Source organism: Homo sapiens, chromosome 21, assembly GCF_000001405.40.
Source record: "Homo sapiens chromosome 21, GRCh38.p14 Primary Assembly".
NCBI classification, from domain to species: Eukaryota; Metazoa; Chordata; class Mammalia; order Primates; family Hominidae; genus Homo; species Homo sapiens.
Window position 1 is genome coordinate 26,872,202 of NC_000021.9, and position 24,048 is coordinate 26,896,249.

Here is a 24,048-nt window from a genome sequence, read left to right on the forward strand (position 1 = left end):
GCCTGACTGATGTCAGGCCTTCCACAAGAGGTGGTGGAGCAGAGCCTTCTCTGACTCCCCTGGGGAAAGGGAGACTCCCTTTCCCGATCTGCTAAGTAACAGGTGCCTTCCCAGGCACTGGTGCTACCACTAGACCAAGGTCTGCTAAATATACTTACGGGTGACTTCCCAGACACTGGTGGGAAGTCCTCTAGTGGCCCTGTCCGGGCGAGACAGAGGGCTCACACTCCTGTCTTCTGGTCACTTCTCACCGTGTCCCTTCAGCTCCTATCTCTGTATGGTCTGGTTTTTCCTAGGTTATAATTGTAGAACAAAGATTATTATAAAATTGGAATAAAGAGTAATGCTACTAACTAATGATTAATAATATTCATATATAATCATATCTATAATCTATTTCTAGTATAACTATTCTTATTGTATGTATTTTCTTTATTATACTGGAACAGCTTGTGCCTTCGGTCTCTTGCCTCGGCATCTGGGTGGCTTGCCGCCCATATTTCAGGAAGAAAGAATATTATCTTAGACAGAAGTTTTTGTCAGGGGGTCAAGCAACAACTTCATTGTCTATATAATGATTCCAGAGTGTATAAAAAGAAAGAAAAAATTAGCTCTTTATATGAAAATAGCGTAAGTTTGTTAGCAAAAGTCCCCCAAAAAATGAATGAAGAAGGAGAAGAGATATCAGGTCATTTCATTTGTGGCATTGATGGAAAAATGTTTAGTCAAATATTAGAGCAAACATAACTGAGCCATGTACAATAAAGAATATAAATACTTTTTGACCAGGTGGTTTAACTCAGAAGTGCAACAGAGATTCAACATAAAATCAGGCCAGGTGCAGTGGCTCATGCCTTTGATCCCAGCATTTGGGGAGGCCAAGGTGGGAAGATCGCTTGAGGCCAGAAGTATGAGACCAGCCTGGGGCAAGATAGCAAGACTCAGTCTTTATTTAAAAAGAAAAAAGAAAAATCAATAAATGCAAATAAATGCATTAATAATTTGAGGAGAAAAACTTGGCAATTGTAGGAAAAGATACCTAAAAATAGTAAGTTAAGAAAAAGAAATAAAAAGATGGCACAAATAGAAAACAAAGCTAATCACTATGAGTAGATACATCAAAGGCAACTGTACTAAATATTCCGAAGACAAAGATTAAAGATTGTTAGATCAAAATAACAATAATAATAATAAAGAACCACTTGTGTATACTCCTACATGGGACATAACTTTTTAAGAAGGATAAAATATAGATAGGTTGAAAATAGACACTGGAAAGGGTATACGTATTAGGCTATTCTTGAGTTGCTATAAAGAAATACCTGAGACTGGGTAATTTATAAGAAAAGTGGCTTGATTGGGCTCACAGTCCTTTTATTTTTTTTTTTTTTGAGATGGAGTCTCGCTCTGTCGCCCAGTCTGGAGTGCAGTGGTGCAATCTCGGCTCACTGCAAGCTCTGCCTCGATTGGGCTCACAGTTCTACAGGAAGTATGCCACCGGCATTTGCTTCTGGGGAGACCTCAGGAAGCTTTTACTCAGGGCAGAAGGTGAAGCAGGAGCTTGCATGTCCCATGGCAAAAGCAGGAGTGAGAAAAAATTAGGGAGAGTGGGAGGAGGTGCTACACGCTCTTAAATGACCAGATCTTGTGTGAACTCAGAGTGAGAGCTCACTCATTATCAAAGGTATGGCCCAAGCCATTCATGAGGGATCTCCACCCCTATGACCCAAACACCTCCCATCAGGCCCCACCTCCAACACTGGAGATTACAGTTCAACTTGAGATTTGGGAGGGGACAAATATCTAAACTATATCAACATATACTAAAACCTTAAGCAAATATGTGTATTGTGAATGTCTTGTCCTAATCTATGCAAACTTTTTGAAATGCTACATGATATCTTCCAAAAAAACAGAAGTTTTAAGTTCTAGTGCAGTATAATTTATCAACTTTTCCTTTCAGGCTTAGTATTTTCTGAACTTTGTTTTAGGATTTTTGCCTAATTCCAAGTTACAAAGATTCTTTCCCTTTTTTATTTAGATGTTTATAATTTTACTTCTTACATGTAGAGCAATAATCCATTTCAAATTAATATTTGGGCATGGGAAGTGAAGTAGAGATCAAATTTTATTTTATTTTTATATAGATACATAATTGTTTCAGTACTGTTCTAGTGATCAATTTCTGCCAAAAACCAACCAAGCAAAAACAAACAAAACTATCCCAAAACTTAGAAGTTTAAAATAAATAAAGTGAGTAAATAAAATAAAATGGGTAAAACACTCATTTTATTTTTTTCCATGATTCTTTGGGTCAGGAATTATGGAAAGGCTCAGCAAGGTGGTTCATCTCTGCTCTATATTATCTGCTAGGATGCCTGGCTTTGAAGGATCTACTTCCACAATGGCTTCTTCCCTGTTATGTCTGGTGCCCGGGCTTCTTGGCCCCTCTCTATTTCTTAATCTCCACATGGTGTCTCATCCACTAGGGCTTCTCAATGTGGCTTGGGATTTTCACAGAACAGTGACCCAGAGTAGTTGAACTTTTTACATAGCAGCTCATGGTTTCAAGAGACCAAGGTGGAAGCTACCAGCCCACTTATGACAAGGTCCAGAAATAGCATTATAACCAATTCTACCATGCTATGTTGGTGAAAACAGTTACAAAACAGCTCAGATTCAAGGGAAGGGAAACTGACCACATCTCAATGGAAAAAAATGTGAACAAATTTATGGCCATCTTTTTTTTATTATTATGCTTTAAGTACTGGGGTACATGTGCAGAACGTGCAGGTTTGTTACATAGGTATACATGTGCCATGGTGGTTTGCTGCACCCATCAACCTGTCGTCCACATTAGGTATTTCTCGTAATGCTATCCCTCCCCTAGCCCCCCACCCCACAACAGGCCCCGGTGTATGATGCTTCCCTCCCTGTGTCCATGTGTTCTCATTGTTCACCTCCCACTTATGAGTGAGAACATGTGTTCTTTAATTGGCCACAGCATCATATAGAGAGGACCATTCTTTCCCCCATTAAACTGCATCATAGTTATCATAATTTAAAGAAATATTGGCCTATGAATCTATTTCTAAACTGTTTCATAAAATTAAACATGTACTTACCATAGGACCTAGTAATCCTACACCTCAGTATTTACACAATATAAATGAAAAGCTATATTAACATAGAAACCCACCCCATGAATATTTACAGCAGCTTTATGCATAATTATCCAAAACTGGAAATGATTCTAATGTTCTTTCATCAGTGAATGGATAAAGAAACTGTAGTGTAGTGATACAGTGAAACTTATTTAGCAAATAAAGGAAATAACTATTAATTTACACAACAACATAGATGAATCTTAAATACATTTTGCTAAGCAGAGGAAACCAAATTCAAAATGTCATATATTGCTTGATTCCATTCATAAAGTATTATATAAAAAGCAAAATTATAGGATGTGTATTTGTCAGGGTTCTACCAAGAAACAGAAGCAATAACATACGTATAGAGATATATAAGAGATTTCTTACAGGAACTGGCTCATGCGAGTTTGGAGGCTGAAAACTACCTTAGTATTCTATCTGTGAGCTGGAGACTAGAAAGCCAGTGGTGTAATTCAGCCAGAATCCAAAGACCCAAGAACCAGGGGAGTTGAGAACAGGGAGGGGGGTTCCACTGGTGAGAACTGAATGTTCCACCTCTAAAAGAGAGAGAGAGAAAATTCGCTTTTCTTCTCCATTTTTGTTCTATCTAAGCCCTCAGCTGATTGGATGGATGCCGGCCCACATGGGTAAGGGTGGATCTTCTTTACTGGGTCCACTGATTCAAATGACAATCTCCTCTACAAACACCCTCACTAACACACCCAGAAATAATGTTTCATCACGGAAATGTCTGGGCATCCCTCAACCCAGTCACGTTCACACATAAAATTAACCAGTGCGGGATGAAAAAGAAGTCTAGTTGCTAGGTGTTGGGGTGAGGGGAGATGTTGACAGCAAAATGTCATCATAAAGGAATTTGGGGGCTGATGAAACTTTTCAAATCACAACTATAGTGGTAGGCCCATGACTCCATTCATTTTTCAAAACCAATAAAACTGTATACCACAAAGAATGGGTAAGTTAAAGCTAAATTCAAAAAGAGCATCACATAAATACTGCATTGCAGTTAGTAGCTTTGTTTCTTATAGAGATATGGGTTAGTTATTCTGAAACTAATTTATGTGGACACCATGGTTGAAAACACAAGTAGATATATGTAGAAAATAAAAGCCAGGTTTCTTTCTTATTGTTTGAGAATAAAAGTTTCAAATAAGTAAAGGAGGAAGGTTAGAATGAACTCCGTGCTGCTAGACTGGAGTTGGAAATATCTGTATAAAGGTGTGTGTGTGTGTGTGTGTGTGTGTGTGTGTGTGTGCGCGCGTGCGCGCGCGCGCGCACAGAAATAAATATATAATGTGTATGTACATATGTATGAGGTAGTATACATACACATTTCTTCACACTCTGTCTGCTGAAAGGGTTTAAAAGCAATGACAACCCAGTAGCAATAAGAACACTTGAAGCCCAGATTTTGATTTTCAAGTAACATTCTCCAAAGAAAGAAACCACGCTCCTTGGTAAAGAGGTTGCTTGGACAAGGAAAATATAGGACGTGCTTGAAATATCTTGTGGTACCAGAAAGTAAAGTAGTTATAACTATAAATTACTTGTGTTAAACATAATTTTTGGCAAGCAAAAGTATACTGCAGAATACTTGCAGTATCATTCTATTTGTGTGACGTCTACAAATACCCCAAAGTAGACATATTGTTAAAGGATGCAAACATACATGGTGATAATCTAAAGAAAATCGACGACATGCAATTCAGAATGCTATTTTTCTTCTTTGCTAAAAACAAAAACACTGTGGAACTTTCAACGGCTTAATGGCTTCCCCAGTCAGAAAGACTTTCACTTCCTTTATCTCACATATATCTTTGTATTGTTACAATTGCTTCCATCTGTTTGGGGTTCAGTAGATCTAGTGATTGCATCCTCTGGATAGTAGCCAAGCTTAAAATTGAAGATTGATTTTAGCTTTCTTTCGCTAGGGTAAATGATTTTATATCTTAATGCTCGTGTTCTCTAATCATTTAACCCTATTTGCATTATTTCTTTGGTCTGCTCTGAGTTTTCTTCACGTTTTGGCTGGCAAACCTTGATGTAATGCTGTGGAATTGACTACTCCTAAACATAATGAGTGGATGGCCTCTTAATTCCTTCATGCTGTGCACTCTATGATATCAGTGAGCAAATCCAAAATATATTGGCTCTAAATGCAATTTCCAAAAAGGCTTTAATAAGATAGATTTCTATTCCACAATTCCTCAGAAAAATACCCAAGCCTTGAGTGGTTAAAATTATCTGTCCCCTGTCTTTAGTTTTTAGGTATTTGAGAGTAGCATCTCTATCTATGCAAATAGTCCATTTATCTAACCCAGATAGTTTTTAGTCATAGAAATACTTCTATAAACAGTATAAATAATACTATAATGAATATATGAAAATATAAATTTTACTTTCTCCGATTATGTGTGGAATTTATTATTTCAATATTTTCATATAATTTAATGCTTACACAATACACTAAATGTAAACAAATGCACCATGAGAGCAAGATGAAAAGAATAATTATACTAGAAGTTACAAAACCATTGATACAATTCAAAGTTTTCTCTAAGTTTCATACAACCTCTTGGCAAATAAATGTATTAGATTTATTCTTACGTCACATATTTTAATAATAAGTAATATTTATTATATTAATTATACTTATTTATCCAAAATAAATGTAAACATGTTTTCAGAAAAAATTGATCTAACTAAATGCAATGTGGTATCCTGTATTAACTTCTGAAACAGAAAAAGAATTAGAGGAAAAACTGGTGAAACCAGAGTAAAGTCTGCAGTTTAATTTATCAATGTATTGATGTTAATCTTTTAGTTTTGACAATTAAGCCATGGTTGTGTAAGAGGGTTACATTAGGGAAATCAGACTGAAGAGTACATGGAGCCTCTATGTTCTTTGCAACTAAAGCGATTCAAAATAAAAAGTTTATTTAAAAATACTGTATGTTATTTTTAAGTAAACATTTTATTTCATTTAATTAATGTGTTTCTTAAATCTTTTGACATTTTTTACTTAAGAGAATAACTTGCATAAGAATCTAAAAATGTAGTTTCTAGGCCAATTATTTAAAATTATAGATTAAAATTAATGGTGGCCTTTATTTAGAATTTTTCTATCACGTAAACTTATATAAGGTAATAACACACATTTTTGTTTTGAACTAATGCTTTGAAACTGTATTTCCTGGAAATTGGGTGACATTAATTGTCATTTTGTAATTAGAAGTTATATAACTTAAATGTCTTTTGTTTGTGCAGTATAGAATATATAATTGCTTGTAGAAAATATAATTCTATCTTTTATGAACAATATTTCTTTTGGATGAATTCAGTTATATATTTGGTATAAAAGTCCTTAAGTACCAAATAGACCTTCTATTGCATACATTTTCTGTTAGGAGCCAAATGAGCAGTACAGATAACTATTGACATTCTTCAGGAGTTTAAAATATAAATATGTACAAGACAAAAGTAGTACACAATTTTAGTGTGAAGTCTAATGTGGAAGTCAGACCAATGAACTTGGGGGAAAGCCTCAACTCATTTCTGAGGCTGCATTTCCCAGTTTGTGAAAGAAGAAAAACCAAATATATTGTACTTCTTAAATATGCTATGAAGACAAATCCATGTGGGTATTTAAGTGATTCTGGAGGATTCTATTTAGGTATAAACAACAAATTAACTAATTTGCTGCATTTTGTGGACAACAAACAAATAGTACTTTATTATGGATGCTGCATGTTTTCCCCATTATTGGAAGTGATGGTTTCTCGATATACTAACAAAATAGAGAAGGCAATAAGATTTGCACGCTTTACATATGCGTTTATTTTTCAATTAATAGCTGATGTTTAAAGCTAATAATGACTCTGAGAAGTACAGTTTTTCCTGTTTGTGGACATTTATGTTGATTCCCAAACAGAACTGGCTTCCACTATATGGAGAGCAATCGCACAACATTGATTGGCTTTAAATTATTGTCAATGTACACACACTAAAGTGGGCACAGTATACTTTCAGAGGATACAACCTTTAAAACAAATTTGTGTTTCATCATACCATGTGGCAGACAGTAAATAATCTTTTTTTTTTTTTTTTTTTTTTTGAGACGGAGTCTTGCCCTGTCACCCAGGCTGGAGTACAATGGTGAGATCTTGGCTCACAGCAACTTTTGCCTCCCAGGTTAAAGCGAATCTCCTGTCTCAGCCTCCCGAGTAGCTGGGATTACAGGCATGTGCCACCACACCCAGCTAATTTTTTTTTTGTATCTTTAGTAGAGATGGGGTTTCACCGTGTTGGCCAGGCTGGTCTCAAACTTCCGACCTCAGGCTATCTGCCCGCCTCGGCCTCCCAAAGGGCTGGGATTACAGGTGTCAGCCACCACGCCCAGCCAGTAAATAATCTTAAAGCTTAAATAAACTCAGTGAACATGTTGTAGTATTGTGTGGAATGTATTCATTTATATCATTGATGAATTCTAGATTTGTACAGCTTCTTTTCTCCAGTTACTCCTTTCTCACACTGAAGCAGAATTTCTCAAAATGGGTGGGTTCAGGAGGGAAGCACTGAACCACTGGTGAACCATGGGGTGAAGTCAGTGCGTGGGTTCAGAAGGAAGCATAGGTACCATTTCTCAAAAAGTATCCTTGCCTTTGGTGGATTACTATCTGTAATTCACTGTCATAAATTCTTAAGTACATGACCAGAGTGGTTTTGCTTCAGTAAGACAACCTGACTTCTACATGGTAAACTCCTGCTAACCCAGCTCTTCAATCAGACCCAGTGGGCTTCATAAGCTTTCTCTTGAGAATCTTTAGCCATGGCTCTGTCTGATTACAAGTCTTCTTGCCGGCTATCTCAACATGTTCAATACATTATTTTCTCTGTTTATCTTGCATTCGCTCTCATTGTCTTTTGCTTTACCTCTCCATTGGCCTTAGCTATGACCCGTGAAATCTTGGAAGGCTCTTCCACCCCACTCTTGTCTGATGCTAGCTGCAGCAACCACCTCTTTCCTGGAATCCTTGAATTAACCCCTTTCATTTTGACACTTGTGCCACATCCAACAAGATTTAAGATAATTTGGAAAAGCAAACATAACAAAAGGCAGAGCAATTTGGAATGAAAACAAAAACAGAACAGAGGTCACCAGCAAAGAGTAAAAAGAGTAAACATGACCAAATACCTGAGATTATTTAATTATCATAATTGGGCATGAAGTTTGATTTGCCTGGAAGCAAAGACATTTTTTAGTTACAAAATTTAAATGATACCAATTCACTTAACTTTTTTTTTTTTGCATGTAAAAGAGGTGCTCTCATAAGGTACATTAAAAATCAATGAAAAACTACTATGGTTTTACCAAAAATAGCTCTAAAATTGTGTTTAAAGAGATGATGTTTTTACTGACCCAAGAGCTGAATATTATATTATAAATTTATAAAATATTTCTTATGGATACTGTATTAATATTTTTTAGATTTCCTATTGTTCAATGATCTACTTAATTATGGGAATGGGACTTTGAGAATCTAGGTGAATGGGTGGATAATATGCCAAATAGGCTCTTCAATGAATGACCTGTCAATGGTAGATCCTGGGTGACAGTCAATAATATTTTCCATTTCTAACCTAAAGCACAAAGATCCTTGTTGTTGGTCAAATTCAGAACTATAGTTTTAAAAACCCCAGATGTTAGTGTAAGTAATTTTATTATTTTGCTGTAGAATTTTGAGAGCAGATTTTATACTTCACCTGAATTTCAAGCCACTTTTTCGAGATACGAGTAAGCAAAGCAGAGGACATTTGTTAGAGCTAATATATATATTTTTTCAGAATGTGTAAATGTAATTGATGGAGTTAGATTGATGAGACCTAGGTTTGGCTTGAGCTCCACTGCTTGCAAATCATGCGGCATTAGAAAAGCAATTCAATCTTTTCTGGTTGTGTCAATCAATGACATAGATCCTCTAAGCAACCGTGGGAGCATTAAGTTTTTTAAAAGGGAAACAGTAGGTATAATTCAAAGTCAAACTTTACATGAATGTAAGTGCTGGGGTTTATATTGAGGTTGGAGAATATAATGGATGAGATTGGTGGGGGTTGAATCCCACGATTCAAAAAACTCAAGGAAACTTCACAGCTTCTGCTTTATTACAGAAGACAAGTGAAAAGTGTCTCTATCTAAATAAACTGTGCAGTTAATGTGGACAACTAAGAGCATAAACTTAATATGCTAAAGTTCAATTAAAACACACACTGAATTTCCAGCGTTTCAATTTTAATGTTATGTAATAACAAGACCACCCAAAAGGTGGCACTAAAAAGCAGATATGTGACCTCCAAGTAAGTAGAATTTGGTGAGATAAAAGAAATGGTAGAGAAGCTTTAGTCTTCTTTTAGGTTTAAATACTTAAATTGCTTCTTAGTAACTTGTAAATATTAAGCTGTCGATATTTTGAAGAAAAGCTGCTATTTTCAATCCAACTTAAAGCATTTGAAATTCATTTGTCTTGCAGCTATGTATATTTAATTTAATATCTTTCAGCCTACCAAACTAGTGATCTTTTTTTGTGTGTAATCATCAGAGACATTGGCATATGCGGGCTAATCTGATTTTCTTTGGAGTCATGCTTGTACCATAAGTTTTGAATGAACAGATGCCCTTATCTGAATCCAACTTCACACTACTGTGTGCCTCAGGGTTACAGAAAATAGACTGTTTAATGAATGACCTGTCAATGGCAGATCCTGGGTGACAGTCAATAATATTTTCCATTTCTAACCTAAAGCAGAGAGATCCTTATTGTTGGTCAAATTCAAAACTGTGGTTTTGAAAACACGAGACGTTAGTGTAAGTGGGTAATTTTGCTATTTTGTTGTGGGATTTTGAGAGCACATTCTGTACCTCACCTAGAATTCAAGCCGCTTTATCAAGATGGTAAGTAAGCAAAGCAGAGGACATTTATTAGAGCTATTTTTTTTTCAGAATGGGTAAATGTAATTTGATGGAATTAGAATTATGAGACCTAAGTTTGATTTGAATAGAAGCTGTGAAGTTTCCTTATTAGAGTTTTTTGAATCATGGGATTCAACTCCTGCCAACCATATCCATTATATCCCCTCCCCCACTATAAATCCCAGCACTTACATTCATATTGACTTTGAATTATACCTACTCTTTCCCTTTTAAAACACTTAAAAATCAGTAGGCTCCTATGGCTGCTTAGAGGACCTATATCATTGATTGACACAACCAGAAAAAATTAAACTACTTTTCTAATGCCTTAGCATTTTCTAATGCTAGTAGAGAATGTTATGTTCAAACCAATTTTTTTTTTTTTTTTTTGCCTGCAATCCCAGCACTTTGGGAGGCTGACGTGGGTGGATCATTTGAGCTCAAGAGCTGGAGATCAGCCTGGGCAACATGACGAAACCTGTATCTACAAAAAAATACAAAAACTGCTGCGTGTGGTGGCACATGCCTGTAATCCCAGCTACTTGGGAGACTGAGGCAGGAGAATCACTTGAACCTGGGAGGTGGAGGTTGCAGTGAGCCAAGATTGCTCCACTGCACTCCAGGCTGGGCAACAGAGCAAGACTCCATCTCAAAACAAAAACAAAAACAAAAACTATCTGGGTCCGGTGGCTTGTGCCTATGTTCCCATGTTCCCAGCTACTCCAGCAGCTGAGGCCAGAGGATGGCTTGAGCCCTTGGGAGGCAGAGGTTGCAGTGAGCTGGGATCATGCCACTCCAGCCTGGGTGACAGAGTGAGAATCTGTCAAAAAAAAAAAAAAGAATATAATGCATTCATATTGACATATTTTACTTCAAACTGATAGAATTTTACAGAATTTTCTATGAAAAGTTTATCAGTAGCTACACATTCTAATAATGTATTAATATCACTGAATATCAGGTCTAAAGTAGTAGTTGTTTTATAGTAACAGTAAAAAAAGAATGCTACTATAAAGGTTAACAGTGAATATATTTCAGTAAATAAAACAATATGCTACCTTTCTGAGGTTATTTGGGAGATGCAACAAATTGTGCTCCATTTACCCATTCAGCTTCAATTAAGAAACGTAATAAATTAGTTCACGTACAGAGAATAAAATATAATCACCCTTATTACAGTCAAAATTGAAATTAGAGAATGTGTTTTGTATCTGGGAGCATGTGGACTTCTGCACCGAAGGCCTGATTTATATAGCCTTATTCACCTTGTCACAGCAGTGCTTGACTGGGCAGGCTCTACCTATGAAAACAGAAGTCACCCACAGAGAAGTAAAGTAGAACATGGGAGCAGCTGTTTCTTAAGAGAAACAGCGAAGGAAGATGTGGGTTCCACTTGCCCAGGTCTTCCTTCTAACATCACCTGTGAGATAAGCCCCTCCCAGTTATATAAACTATTTGGAAATGAGTGAGAAAGCAAGGGAAGCTGGGAGTATGAAGGAATATTTTCCACAGAGAGGAAAACACAAGGAATAAAGAAGTACTTCCTACCCATGCACGCATGGTCTTTCTAATGAAGGGGTTCTTGTCCATTATGAAACAGCCTTGAGTATTCCCTGATGACACAGTGCTGGAGCACAAGGGAAGTTTATCTTGCACAATGCCTGTTATTTTAGAATTCTCTCTAGGAGAATGAAAAGGCACTTGAAGCAGTGAAACAGCAAAACCAGTGCTATGGTCTGAACGGTTTGTTTGTTTTCCTACTCCCCTAAATTCATACATTGAAATCTGATTTCCAACATGAAAGCATTAGATGGTGAGGCCTTGGGGATGTGATTAGGTCATGAGGGCTCCACCTTCACGAATGGGATTAGCACCCTTATAAAAGAGACCCCAGAGAGCTAGCTAGCCCCTTTCACCATGTGAGGTTACAATGAAAAGATGTCTGTCTATGCAGAACAGAGTCCTCACCAGATACTGAATCTCCCGGTGCCTCGATCTTGGACTTCCCAGCTCCATAACTGTGAGAAATAAATTTATGTTGTTTATATGCTACTCAGACTTAGGTATTTTTGTTATAGTAGCCTAAAGAGACGAAGAGAATAAGACAGTTGCTAGCTTCCACCTTTCAAAGCTCTTCTGGACATTCAAGACTATTTGGCTTTATCACATCAGGTGCATTCTAGACCATCTTTATTGGTCAGCTTAGCTCACATCCATGAGCGGCAGGCTTTTATCTGTGCTAAGGAGGGAATCTCCTAGTATGCCTGGGCTCTTGGCCTTCACATTCTAAGATCATGCTCCTATTCATGCTGCTTTCCATCTGGTCTGACAGCAGGTGACATAAGTGGGTCTGCTAGGACAGGCAGGTACTGTCCTCAATTTTTCTCTACAGGTAGTAATGCTCCAATGTGTAAAACGGCAGTTCTAGACTTAAGAACTTCACTTTCTACATAAGCTTAGCTGAGATAATTAATACAAATTTACAGTGATGGCAATAGTAGTGTTAAGTATTCTGTTCACTCCTATACATTTTATGGCCCACTTGCAAGGTGAGACTATGTGAGCTGAAAGGAATTTTGTCTTCTGATTAGAGGCAATAAAAATTCCTTGCACATTTCTCTAGTTTTTCTCTTCCCTTGCCATTGCAACTGAGCATAATGTAGCACCAAATATGAGAGCCTTTGTTTACTGAATACCTGAGTGACGGCACAGTAGAGCTACCTGATGGCTCATATGGGACATTTAGTGTAAGAAAAAAACTTCTGTGAGGTCATTGAAATTCCTGGATTTTTTGTTAGTACAGCACAAATTAACCTATCTTGACTAGTGTAGTTACACAGAGCTTTTGTATGCAACAAGTGTGTGTTTCACTGGAGGCACTATTAGGAGAAATTGTGCAAATCCTCACAAACATGAGACTGGAACAAGCTTTTAGAAGACAGTTAAGATTATAGGATAAGTTGAGAAAGCCATGAAGACATATTGAGCTGGGAACTCTAGCAAAGGAGTGGGAAGAGAAATGCGTATGGTACAGTAAAGCTGGCTTGAAGAGGACAAGGTGTTTAAGTCATAGAGTTATATAGGATGAACTTTCATGGATGTGGAGAATCCAGAGTGAGGAAACAGCTTGAGAGTTCACATGATGTTTTTAAGGAAGATGAGGAGCAAAAGGGGCCAGATGGAAGCAGTAGGCAAAAGCTCAGGAAGATGATGTTGGCGGTGTTGCTCACAATACCTAGACAAGATGATATTTCACCTAATTAGTTAGTATCAGAGAAAGGTTGGCATGTGCTGGATAATTTGTAACTATAATAATAGATTTATTGGAGCATTCAGTTATAAATCATGAGTGAGAGGAAGAGATAGGAAACAAAAAACACTAAAAAAAAAAAGGAGTTAATGAAGAATGGCCATGCCTCTACAGAAATAGAAGGTGAAAGAGAACTAATTAGAGTGAAGATAACTGATTTACGATTGAATACATTTTGTTTACAATAAAGGCAAGCTCTCTGGACAGTTGTATGTAAGGAAATAAAACAATTAGAAGTAAGAACAGGAGTTACATATTTGGGATTAATGCTAGGTGATGATAATTTGCCTTTAGATTATAATCATATATATAGAGAGAATTATCTATCTGTACAAAGATGTGCAAAGTGCTGATGAGTGTGACTTGTTCATGGTAGAAAAAGGAAGACAAGTTCTTGAAGAACTGCATCAAGTATCTTTTGTAAACAGCATGTTGAGCTCATTACCATATACATGGTGCCTTTTTTGTTGTTACTAATGTGATATGGTTAAGCTTTGTGTCCCCACCCAAATCTCATCTTGAACTGTAATCCCCAGGTATTAAGGTAGGAATCTGGGAGAGGCGATTGGATCATGGGGGCACTTTCCCCCATGTTGTTCTCATGATAGTGACAGAGTTCTCGTGAGATATGATGGTTTTATAAGCTTCTGGCATTTCCCCTGCTTGCTCTTCTGTCTCCTGCTGCCACGTGAAGAAGGTGCTTGCTTCCCCTTCACCCTCCACCATGATTGGAAGTTTCCTGAGACCTCCCTAGCCATGCAGAACTCTGAGTCAATTAAATCTCCTTTATTTATAAATTACCCAGTCTGGAGTAGTATCTTTATAGCAGTGTGAAAACGGACTAATACAAAGTGCCTATGAAACCATGTTTATGTTTTTACAGCTTTTATTCCATTTGACTCCATCCTAGGAGAATATCTGCAGCAATAGTCCACTCATTCTCTGGTTTCTTGTACAACTTTCTATTATTTTTGTCTGAATTTATTTATTCAGGGAAGATCGTCAAAAAAAGGTTGCATATTTCTTCTTGGGCTGCAATGGACAATCTTAGCTCATTCTTACATGTTATAAAACCAATTATCTCAGGCTGGATCATGCATCAATATAGTCAGTGTTATCCCACAACATGAAGAGCTTTATGAACATCTATAGTTTTTTTTGAAATGTCCATGAGAGTTTACCGCTCACTCGAGTCAACAGAAGCTTTACATGAATCTGTAAAGTTTGTTTCCTCTATTGTAATACATTTTTTATGATCTAGAGTTGGCATTTTTAGAGAGTCCTGAAACTCTCTAGGTATTAAGATGTTTCTCGTGCTTACAAGGAGAATGCCTTAAAATGTGTTCTCTGATCTTTTCTATTATTTGGGTCTATAGAAAAGATACTGTATACGTTGCTTCTGAACATATTTTATATGTGTTCAGTTAGTCAATAAACATGTATTGGATGATTTCATGTGCTAGGTGTCCTACTAAGTGTGGAGAATACAAAGATGAAGCAAGCACAGTTTCCAAAATCAAAGAACAGCACCTGCCTTCTAGAAAGAAAGGCAAACAAAGGAAGAGAAAATTAGAGTATAGAGTGATAAATATTGTGTTAGAGGTAGGCACAGAGGGACTAGCACAGCAATACAAAGAGGAAGCAGATTTCTTAGGCCTGGAGGTGGGAAATTCAGAGCTTGTCAGGTGAAATGAGGGCAGTGAGCAGGAAGGGCATTCCAGCCAGAGAAGCAGCCAGTGCTCAGGCCAGATGAGAGAGCTGTAAGTAGCTCAATATGCTTGTAGCACAGAGTGGTGAGAGATGAAGCCGGAGAGATAAGCAAGTGCCAAATCATGATAGACCTTGCTTCTTCAATTGTTTGTTTAGTTACAGCTCACTTTGTTCCAGAAGAGTTTTTACGTGCATTGAAGGGCCGTGAATACCACACTAAGACATTTGGAGCCCTTCCTAAACTGTTGGCAAGCCTCAGGAAGAAAGCAACATGATCAGATTTGCATTTTAGAAGGATAATTCTATCTTCTTAGAGGAGAATGAATTGTAAGGAACAAAGACAGAAGCAGAGAGGCCATTTAGGAAATTGCTGCAGTCCTTCAGATGAGAAATGCACCACGAGGGGCTAAATTAAAGTAGTAGCTTTGGGGATGGAGAGAAACAAGAGATATAGAATAAGCACAATGAACATGGCTTGCTAATAAATATTTTCTCAGTGAATGAGTTGTGACTAATTAGATGTATGGGGTGAGAACAAGAGGTAATTAAAAAATGAATTTCAGGTTTAGACTTGGGAAACCAGGTGGGTGACAAGAGAACTCATTGCTTGGATACTGAATGCATTCCTTCTGAGTTCTTTTTACACCTGGGAACTGTAATTGTTGTGTGTGGATTAATCTTAACTGTGTGGTAAATGCCCTAAGCATAAGTACTGTCTTCCTTTTCTCGTATTATTTTTCTAGCACTGAGAACTTTAGAGTTACGTTCATTGAACTAACTATAATTCAATGAACCTGGCCCAGGTCGTTATCTATTTAAGAATGAGTGACAGGTCTTAACTCTTAATTCACTAGTATTCTTTGGTTGTGTGCAAAAGAAACTGACCCTGACTAACATGAACCAAAGAAAACTGTGGTGAGTTATTGAGGATTCTCAGACTTGATATATAGTCTGGAGAAGTAGGCTTGGAAATAGGCAAGCAGAAAAGTACATGCAGCAAACTGATCAAGAACCACAGAAAGTCTCCTGTAACATGAAGGATCCAGTCAGGAAGCCACTGTGGAAAAGGAGAAACCACAACTTTCAATCTCTTTGTCCCTCTGCTCAAGAATCAAATTCCAGAGAGCTCTGAATTATTGCCTATCTTGAGGAACATTTTCACTGCCTAGCCTACAAGAGGTTTGGGCCCATAATTATAGTCCTGACAGAAGGGAAGGAGGTAATTCCTCAAATATTTAGAAATCATGGTGTACTTAGGAAGAGAAAAAGGATGCTAGCCAGCCAAATAATTACAAATGTCTACTTCCAGCTGATTTTAGCTTTTATTATTTTCTGTTTAGAAAGATTCTTAAAAACAAAATTGAAGCCTTATGAAGTATGGGCATGCGATTTATTTTCTGGCTAAAAAACTTGGAACTCTTTCAACTAAGCTACATTTTCGACAAAAAATTCTATTCTGTAGCTTCTAGGAAGTAAAATGAATATGTTTTTAAAGAGTAGGACATAGGCTCTGAACTAATGAGATACAATCAAAAACTTTATACTTGGAAATAAATATTATTTAGTTCTGAAGGAAAAAATTGAATAGGTGGGATGAGGGGAAGAAAATATATGAGTAAAAGGAGGAACACACACGGAAGAAAAATCCAGCATTATTTGGATAAGCTTCTGAGCAAAATTCAAACCAAATCTAACTCTTGAACATCCGGAGGGAACACTCGCCACTAATTACAGGACTAAGATATACAAGAAGCCACTTCAGGACCGTGGGGCCAAATCAGCCATCCGATTGTAGTTTTTAAGATGTGGCTGTGGTTGTTTGTTTGGTGGTAGGAGAAAGTTTAGATTTGCTTTCACTGGCTTTGGTGGATGTTGATATTTCTTTCATCTCTAATCTCATTCCAGAGCTAGGGAGATACCTGTGCCAACTCTGGCTTTGTTTGCTCTGCCAGACAATCCTGATGCTGCAAAGTCAAATCATCGTGAAGGAAGTTTGTGCAAATGTGGGAAACAGGACTATAATCCTGCTTGAAGTTTGCTTAGATTCCTGGGAAGTCTCCCTATTCCAACCCTTTTTGAGAAAGTAAGTAAAAGAACTGCTTTTATGATTGATTGTAAAAACTATGGAAGGGTTTAAGTTGGTCTCTATTTGAAACCACAATTTTGGTGATATTTCTATTTTCTTTCATTTCTATTTTTTTCCTAGATAACAATCTCTCTCTCTCTCTGTGTGTGTGTTTTCGAAGAAGAGCTCAACCTTGAGAAAGTCCACATTTCTGTGTAGGATAAGATAGAGATGAGACATTAGACAAAACGGGTGAAAAGTACTTTTTGAAAACCGAATGAGTATTTTCTGTGCACAATCTGATTCTGTTATTACAAGTATTAGACATGTTATAGGATGACTTTATAAACCTATACGATTGATGTTTACAGCTTACCTTAGAACTTCTCAGTTTTTCTTTTCCCAAGCTAGACAGATACCCTAGAAAATAAAATAATGATTATAGTGCTTTTACTTACATTTATTATGGGAAGGGGTAATTCCTCAAATTGGAACTAAAATTGGAAATCAGATAGCATAGCTGCTTAAGGAGTAACTAAACTATTTGAATTTGTCACACAGAAAAAAGATCTGACACATTCCTTTTGCTTCAAAAATGTTTTTCTGTCCTTACTGCTAGAAGAATTGATACGCTGTCAGGAATATTGAACACATTAAATATTGGCTTTTGAGTTAGGCAAGACCACTTCTTTAATTCTTTCCAAAAATGAGTTTCTATGTTATTATTGTGGCCAGGGATGTAGCCAAAGATGTGAGCCAAACTGCCTGGGCTTGCATCCTAGCTCTCACCTATGGAATCAGTTGCCATTCATAAATTGCAAAAAATGCAAAAAAAACAGTGGTCTTTGCAGAGCTATATCTATATATACTAGTTGATAAAGAAAAACCTGGAAATTTTATTTTATTAGTTACTCTTTCATTTGATGGTTCTGAAGAGAGTTATAAGAGTGTGAGTGCGTGTGTGTGTGCTTACATATCTATGTATACATATAAGTGCATGTATATATGTGTAAGTGGAAATATTTATTTACTGTATTTTATGTATGTATCTTGTGTGTGTGTATGTGTGTGACAGACTCTCACTCTGCTGCTCAGGCTACAGTGCAGTGGTGCGATCGTGTGTCACAGCAGCCCTGAGGGCCCCAGGCTCAGGTCATCCTCCCAAGTAGCCTCTGCCTCCCAAGTAGCTGAGACTGCAGGTGTGTGCCACCAGACCTGGCTAATTTTTGTATTTTTTAAAAATAAAGATGACAGTTGTAATAAATTGAGTGAATAGTCATAATATTATCAAGCTATCCTGAGAGGAAAATCTCAGGTGAGTATCATAATGTTGCTACCCCAACCCATTTCACATGGAATACAGTTATAGCAGGCTTAAACCACTTTTGTTTTAACTCCTTTGCCAAGCATTGTCACTTTTTGTAGTAGAGTTGAGATGATTAGGTAGGTAGAACCCAACAGAACCCAAGACTGATCCTTGTTTACAATGGAGGTGAGTGTTGAGATGCTGCCCCATAACTGCCATCAAGACTAACTGCTGATATGGAATATGGAATGGCATGTTAGTGATGAATGCTTAGTAATTCAATTTTTAGAAAGATTTGTTTTAGCATTTCCTTAGTCATCTCTACCTTCCTTCTAGCCTGTCATTTGTTCAAGGTGATGGAGGGTATGTGATAACTTGGAGAAATTGTTTGAACTGAATTAATCAGACTACTATTGGCAATAATATTGTGTGGCTCTTTGAGTGTTTTTTAGATTATTTCAGGAGATGTTTGAAATGAAACTTACTGGCCCTGAAGCCATTTTGAGTTACCTACCAAATTAAGAAATGGTATTCCCTGAGAAATGGACATAAAATTGCACTGCATTCCTAGTTATATTTTCTGATAAATTTTCATGGAAAGTAGGTGTCCTTGGATTTTATAACAGATGAATAAATTCCCAACTACAAAACGTCATTTCCAGCTTTATTCCAGTTTCCAATACGATGACTGTGATGGTTAATATTGACTGTCAACTTGATTGGATTGAAGTGCAAAGTATTATTCCTGGGTGTGTCTGTGAGGGTGTTGCCAAAGGAGATAAACATTTGAGTCAGTGGACTTGGTGAGGCAGATCCACCCTCAATTTGGGTGGGCACCATCTAATCAGCTGCCAGTGTGGCTGAATAAAGCAGGCAAGAGAAGATGGAAGACAAGACTTGCTGAGTCTTCAGCCTTCATCTTTCTCTCAAGCTGGATGCTTCCTGCATTCGAACCAGGGACTCCAAGTTCTTCAGCTTTTGGACTCTTGGAGTTATACCAGTGGTTTGCTAGGGGCTCTCCAGCCTTTGACCATAGACTGAAGGCTGCACTGTTGGTTTCCCTACTTTTGAGTTTTTGGGACTCGGACTGATTCACCACTGGCTTCCTTGGTCCCCAACTTGCAGACAGCCTATCATGGGACTTTACCTTGTGATCGTGTGAGTCATTTCTCTTTAATAAACACCCTTTCATGTATACATATATTCTATTAGTTCTGTCCCTCTAGAGAACCCTGACTAATACAATGACCTTGTATGATTTTTATTCTAGGGAAAGGAGAGGGAGCAGAAAAAGGAATTGTAATAAGTAACCATGAGAAAGTTTTAAAATCATACCTTCTTTTTAGCATTTACAGTTCCTGTGTTGCCATGTCCTGATTTGGGGAGGAAAATACCAGTGATACTACTTGGGGTCTGAGAGGTTTACAGTGGATTTTTCACTCGGATATCTATATCTATCTATCTATATATACATATATATCTCAAAACTATTCAGGACTCTCTAAATTCTTCTCATGGATTCATCATCAATTCATGCCACAGTGAGAACTTCATTCATATATGGCAGCACATCTGGAAACTGGGTGGCAAGGTCAGATTGAAGTCATGGAACATTCCAGGGAGGTCAAACATTCTAAATAGAAGCAGCTTAACTCAGAATGTTCTTCAGTAAGTGATGATTGTTTTGGCTTCTGCAGTAGCCTCATTGATGATCTGCCATTAAGAAGCTTTCAACAAGCAAATTTTTCAAAAACTTGACCTTCTGAAAGGAGGGTAAGAATTTCATTAACTGTAAGCATTAGACCATGAGCACATTATGCTTTAAATTCAGAATGTTTCTCAGAAAGTCTCACATCATCATTATTCTTTGGTTTTAGCATGACTTTGTCCAATATAGTAGCCATTAGCCACATGTGACTATTGAGCACTTGAAATGAATGTAACTAGTGAGACTGAGGAACTGAATTTTTAATTTTTAAAAAATTTTACTTTATTCAATTAAAAAATTGAATATAACATATATCATTCATATTTTTATATTGATCATATGTTAAAATAGTTGTATTTTGAATATATTGAGTTAAATAATGTGCATTACTATTAATAATTTTACCTGTTCTTTACACATTTTTGTTAATGTGACCACCACAAAATTTAAAATTACATATGTGGCTTGTATTATATTTCTATTAGGCCAGTTCTGCCTTTTACTTGTTGGAGACTCAAAGGTGTCTAATTTACTTAGATACATAATCTGTCTTCCTTTTTTCACCTCTAGAGTGATGGTATATAATTGTTTTCATTAATTGATTTAATAGCTGGTTTCAGAAGAAATGACTCTGATTCTTCCATCCAATCATCTAATTACTCTGAGAATATCTTGCTTTTTCTGAGAACAAATTCACTATTATCAGATAGTCGAGGTCACTATTATAATGCTCTGTTATTTCTTTTTCCCTTAGCCCCCTTTAATTCTCAAGGCTAACCCATGCAACAGTCATAGCATGTCATTAAAAAATATTTTTGTTCATAGTTTTGATTCAATAATACCTCCAGGATGTCTTAATTATATCTGCTTTAGTCCAGCTAGTACATTGCTTCCTCCGGATTTCTGATATTCTTGACCTTAAACTTCTTGTCTCATCTCACATGCTCTTGTTGATCTTGATCTAAATTACTTCCCATGTCTTTTCTCAGAATTCTGCTTTCTAAGTAATATCCTCTCAATTCCACACCTTGATTGTTGGAACCCAGAATGGTGCAAAGCTGGATGCAAAGGCTATTGTAGGTGCTGGATACAGCTCCATAGGAAGACATGGCTTCTGACCTTATGTGACCCACAGTCTAGTGGGGGAAACACAAAGTAAACATGTGTGTTTCTTTTCCAGGATGCTAGAACCTGCCTTTCCTGTAAGCTCAGAGAGGAGAAGTAGCTGGGCATTTATTTCTCCCTGGGAACAGCCCTTGGCTAATAACTGATACATTAAGGAATAGAAATACTCCATCCCCTAATCAGGACACCTCTAAGCTGAGAACAACATGGAATGCAAACTGCCTCTGGATTATTGAGCCTAAGATACATTCTGCTGGGCTATGCTTGCTATCACAGCCTTCCTTGGTCTCCTTCCTCTTCTGGTCCCAACTCCTTCCTCCTTTACTTCTGTCCTGGGAATACTTCAAATAAGCCACTTTACCCCTAAATCCTCATTTCAGTATGATGCTTCTGGGGAATCCAACCCTATATCAGTAATTTTAGGTACTGAAATTGGTTCTAGGAAGCCAACTTTTAGGATGAGACTTAGAATTAAATCACTCAATGCCCAGATGGCAACAGAGAAGCTGTTGTTTGTGGTGAGTGAAGGGATGATATCCTCTGGCCTGCTGTAGCATTAAATTGTTGATATTTTTACCTGTGGTGAGTTGGGATGGAATACAAGTGAAAAGGGATGCACTGGACCACACAGCAGCTATGAAATTTAATACTTTTGTAATTTGATAGTAATTATAAGAAGGATGGGGTTGTTTAGTGGCTGCTAATTGATGTACTGCAGAAAGAAAACACTGTGCTTTGGTTAGTCAATTGCCAGTTCATGGGGAAGAAGGAGATCAAGAATTCTGTTTCACAGATATTTAGTTTGTATCTGAGGGCGATTTTAAGGAGAGTTCATATATCTGCAGATTGGGTCAAAAGCAGAAAAATAAATTTTCAAATCATCCCTCTTTACATGGTATTTAAGACAATTTGTATTAATAAGAGTTAATACTAGCAAACAACACTAAAAGGGATCATCTCAAGAAGAAAAGAATATTGAATGGATGTTGGGTCATTCAAAGAATTGCCAGGATATCTCAGGGAATTGTCAGGAACAAAGAGGGCTGGCAAGAGCCAGAATTGCAAGACCACGATAATGGCACAGATTCTCTCCAAAGAGGACACTGCTACTGCCATGATGCAACTGAGTATCTCAGCTTATACAATCTCTACTTCTAGCTCTGATTCCTGGATGCCACCATAGATAGGCATCTCAGCTACTGGTGCCCTGGATAATGAGTGTAGCTGCAGCTGACATTAGAAAGAATTCCCTATGGACTGTGTTTGTTCTATCTCACAAGCTCCAAATTTGAAGATTGGTGGATTTTTGTGATTAGACAAGCCAAGGCCATGCTGCCTTGTGTCCCACATAAGACACCAGTGCAGCGTGTCCTCTTTGAAACTCAGGATAACGTTTTTGAGATTCAGCCAAACTGTTGCATGTATCATGCAAATTCATTATTTTCTATTTCTGAGTAGTATTCCATTGTGTAGGGACACAACAGTTTGTTTATATCCTAGTATATCCTTGCCTTCATTGAGTTCTCAAAGTTTTTTTTTTTTATAGTTCTCTTTTAGAAGCTGAATAGCTTTAGCTTTAACATTTAGGTTTATGATCCAGTCTGAGAAAATTTTCTGTATATTTAATAGTATGAAATATTGAAGTTTTTTTCCACATAGATATCCATTTGCTTCACTACTATTTTTGAAAAAACGATCCTTTTCCCATTGTATTTCTGTAGCACATTTATTGAAACATAACACTGTGCCCCGCAAATACATACAATTATTATATGTCAGTTAAGAATAAAATTAAAATACAAAAATAAAAGAAAACGACCATATATATGTGTATATACTTCTAAAGTTTCTATTCTGTTCCATTGAGTGATATGTTGATACAATTGACATTATCACCTTTGTGATCACTACAGCTTTGTGGTGAGTCTTAAATTGCATTAGTACACTACCTCCAACTTTTTTCTTTAAAAAAATTTTTCTTGCCTATTCTAATCATTTGAATTTCAAAATAAATATTTGAATCAGCTTATTAGTTAGAAGGAAAAAGCTCTGCTGAAATTATGATTAGAATGATCAATACATCAACTTGGGAAAATTGACTTTTTAATATTGTGTTCTAATGAACATAATATATCTCTTCATTTAATTTTTCATAATTCCTCTCAGCAATGTTTTGTAATTTTTACAATAGAAGTCATGCATTATTTATATCCATAGCTAAATATTTTATGCTATTGAAATTATTTTTAAACATTTCAATATGCCATTATTAGTTGCTAATATATAGAATTATAATTAATTTTTAAAATATTGATCTTCTATCCTATATTCTTACATTATTTTAAATTTATAGCATATTCTGAGTAGATATTTTGTAGCTTCTTTAATTTTTTTTATGCTTATTATCATACTGTCTTCCAGTAAAGAAAGTTTTGTTTTATTCCCAATTTGCTAGGAGCATTTATCATGATTAGTTATTGAATGTTGTCAAATAGTTTTTTCTCCATTTAGTGAGATAGCATATTATTTCTTTCTCTCCTCTGTTAATATCACAAATTACCTTGATTTGCTATTCAACTATTAACCAAACTTGAAATATTGTGATAAGCCCAAATTGGTCATGTGGCACTAAATTTTTGTTTTGCTGGATTTTACTTGCTAATCTTTGGTAAAGACTTTTGTGT

General features: G+C 36.7%; 1 long non-coding RNA gene across 1 annotated transcript in view; it reads left to right on the top strand.

Moving 5' to 3' along the window:
• LOC105372760 (uncharacterized) overlaps positions 1-24,048 on the top strand; it is a 55,507-nt gene that overhangs the window by 17,308 nt on the left and 14,151 nt on the right. Inside the window, exon 2 of the long non-coding RNA XR_937632.3 lies at positions 17,066-17,243. This is a non-coding gene — a long non-coding RNA (uncharacterized LOC105372760). The remainder of the gene's footprint in view (positions 1-17,065; positions 17,244-24,048) is intronic.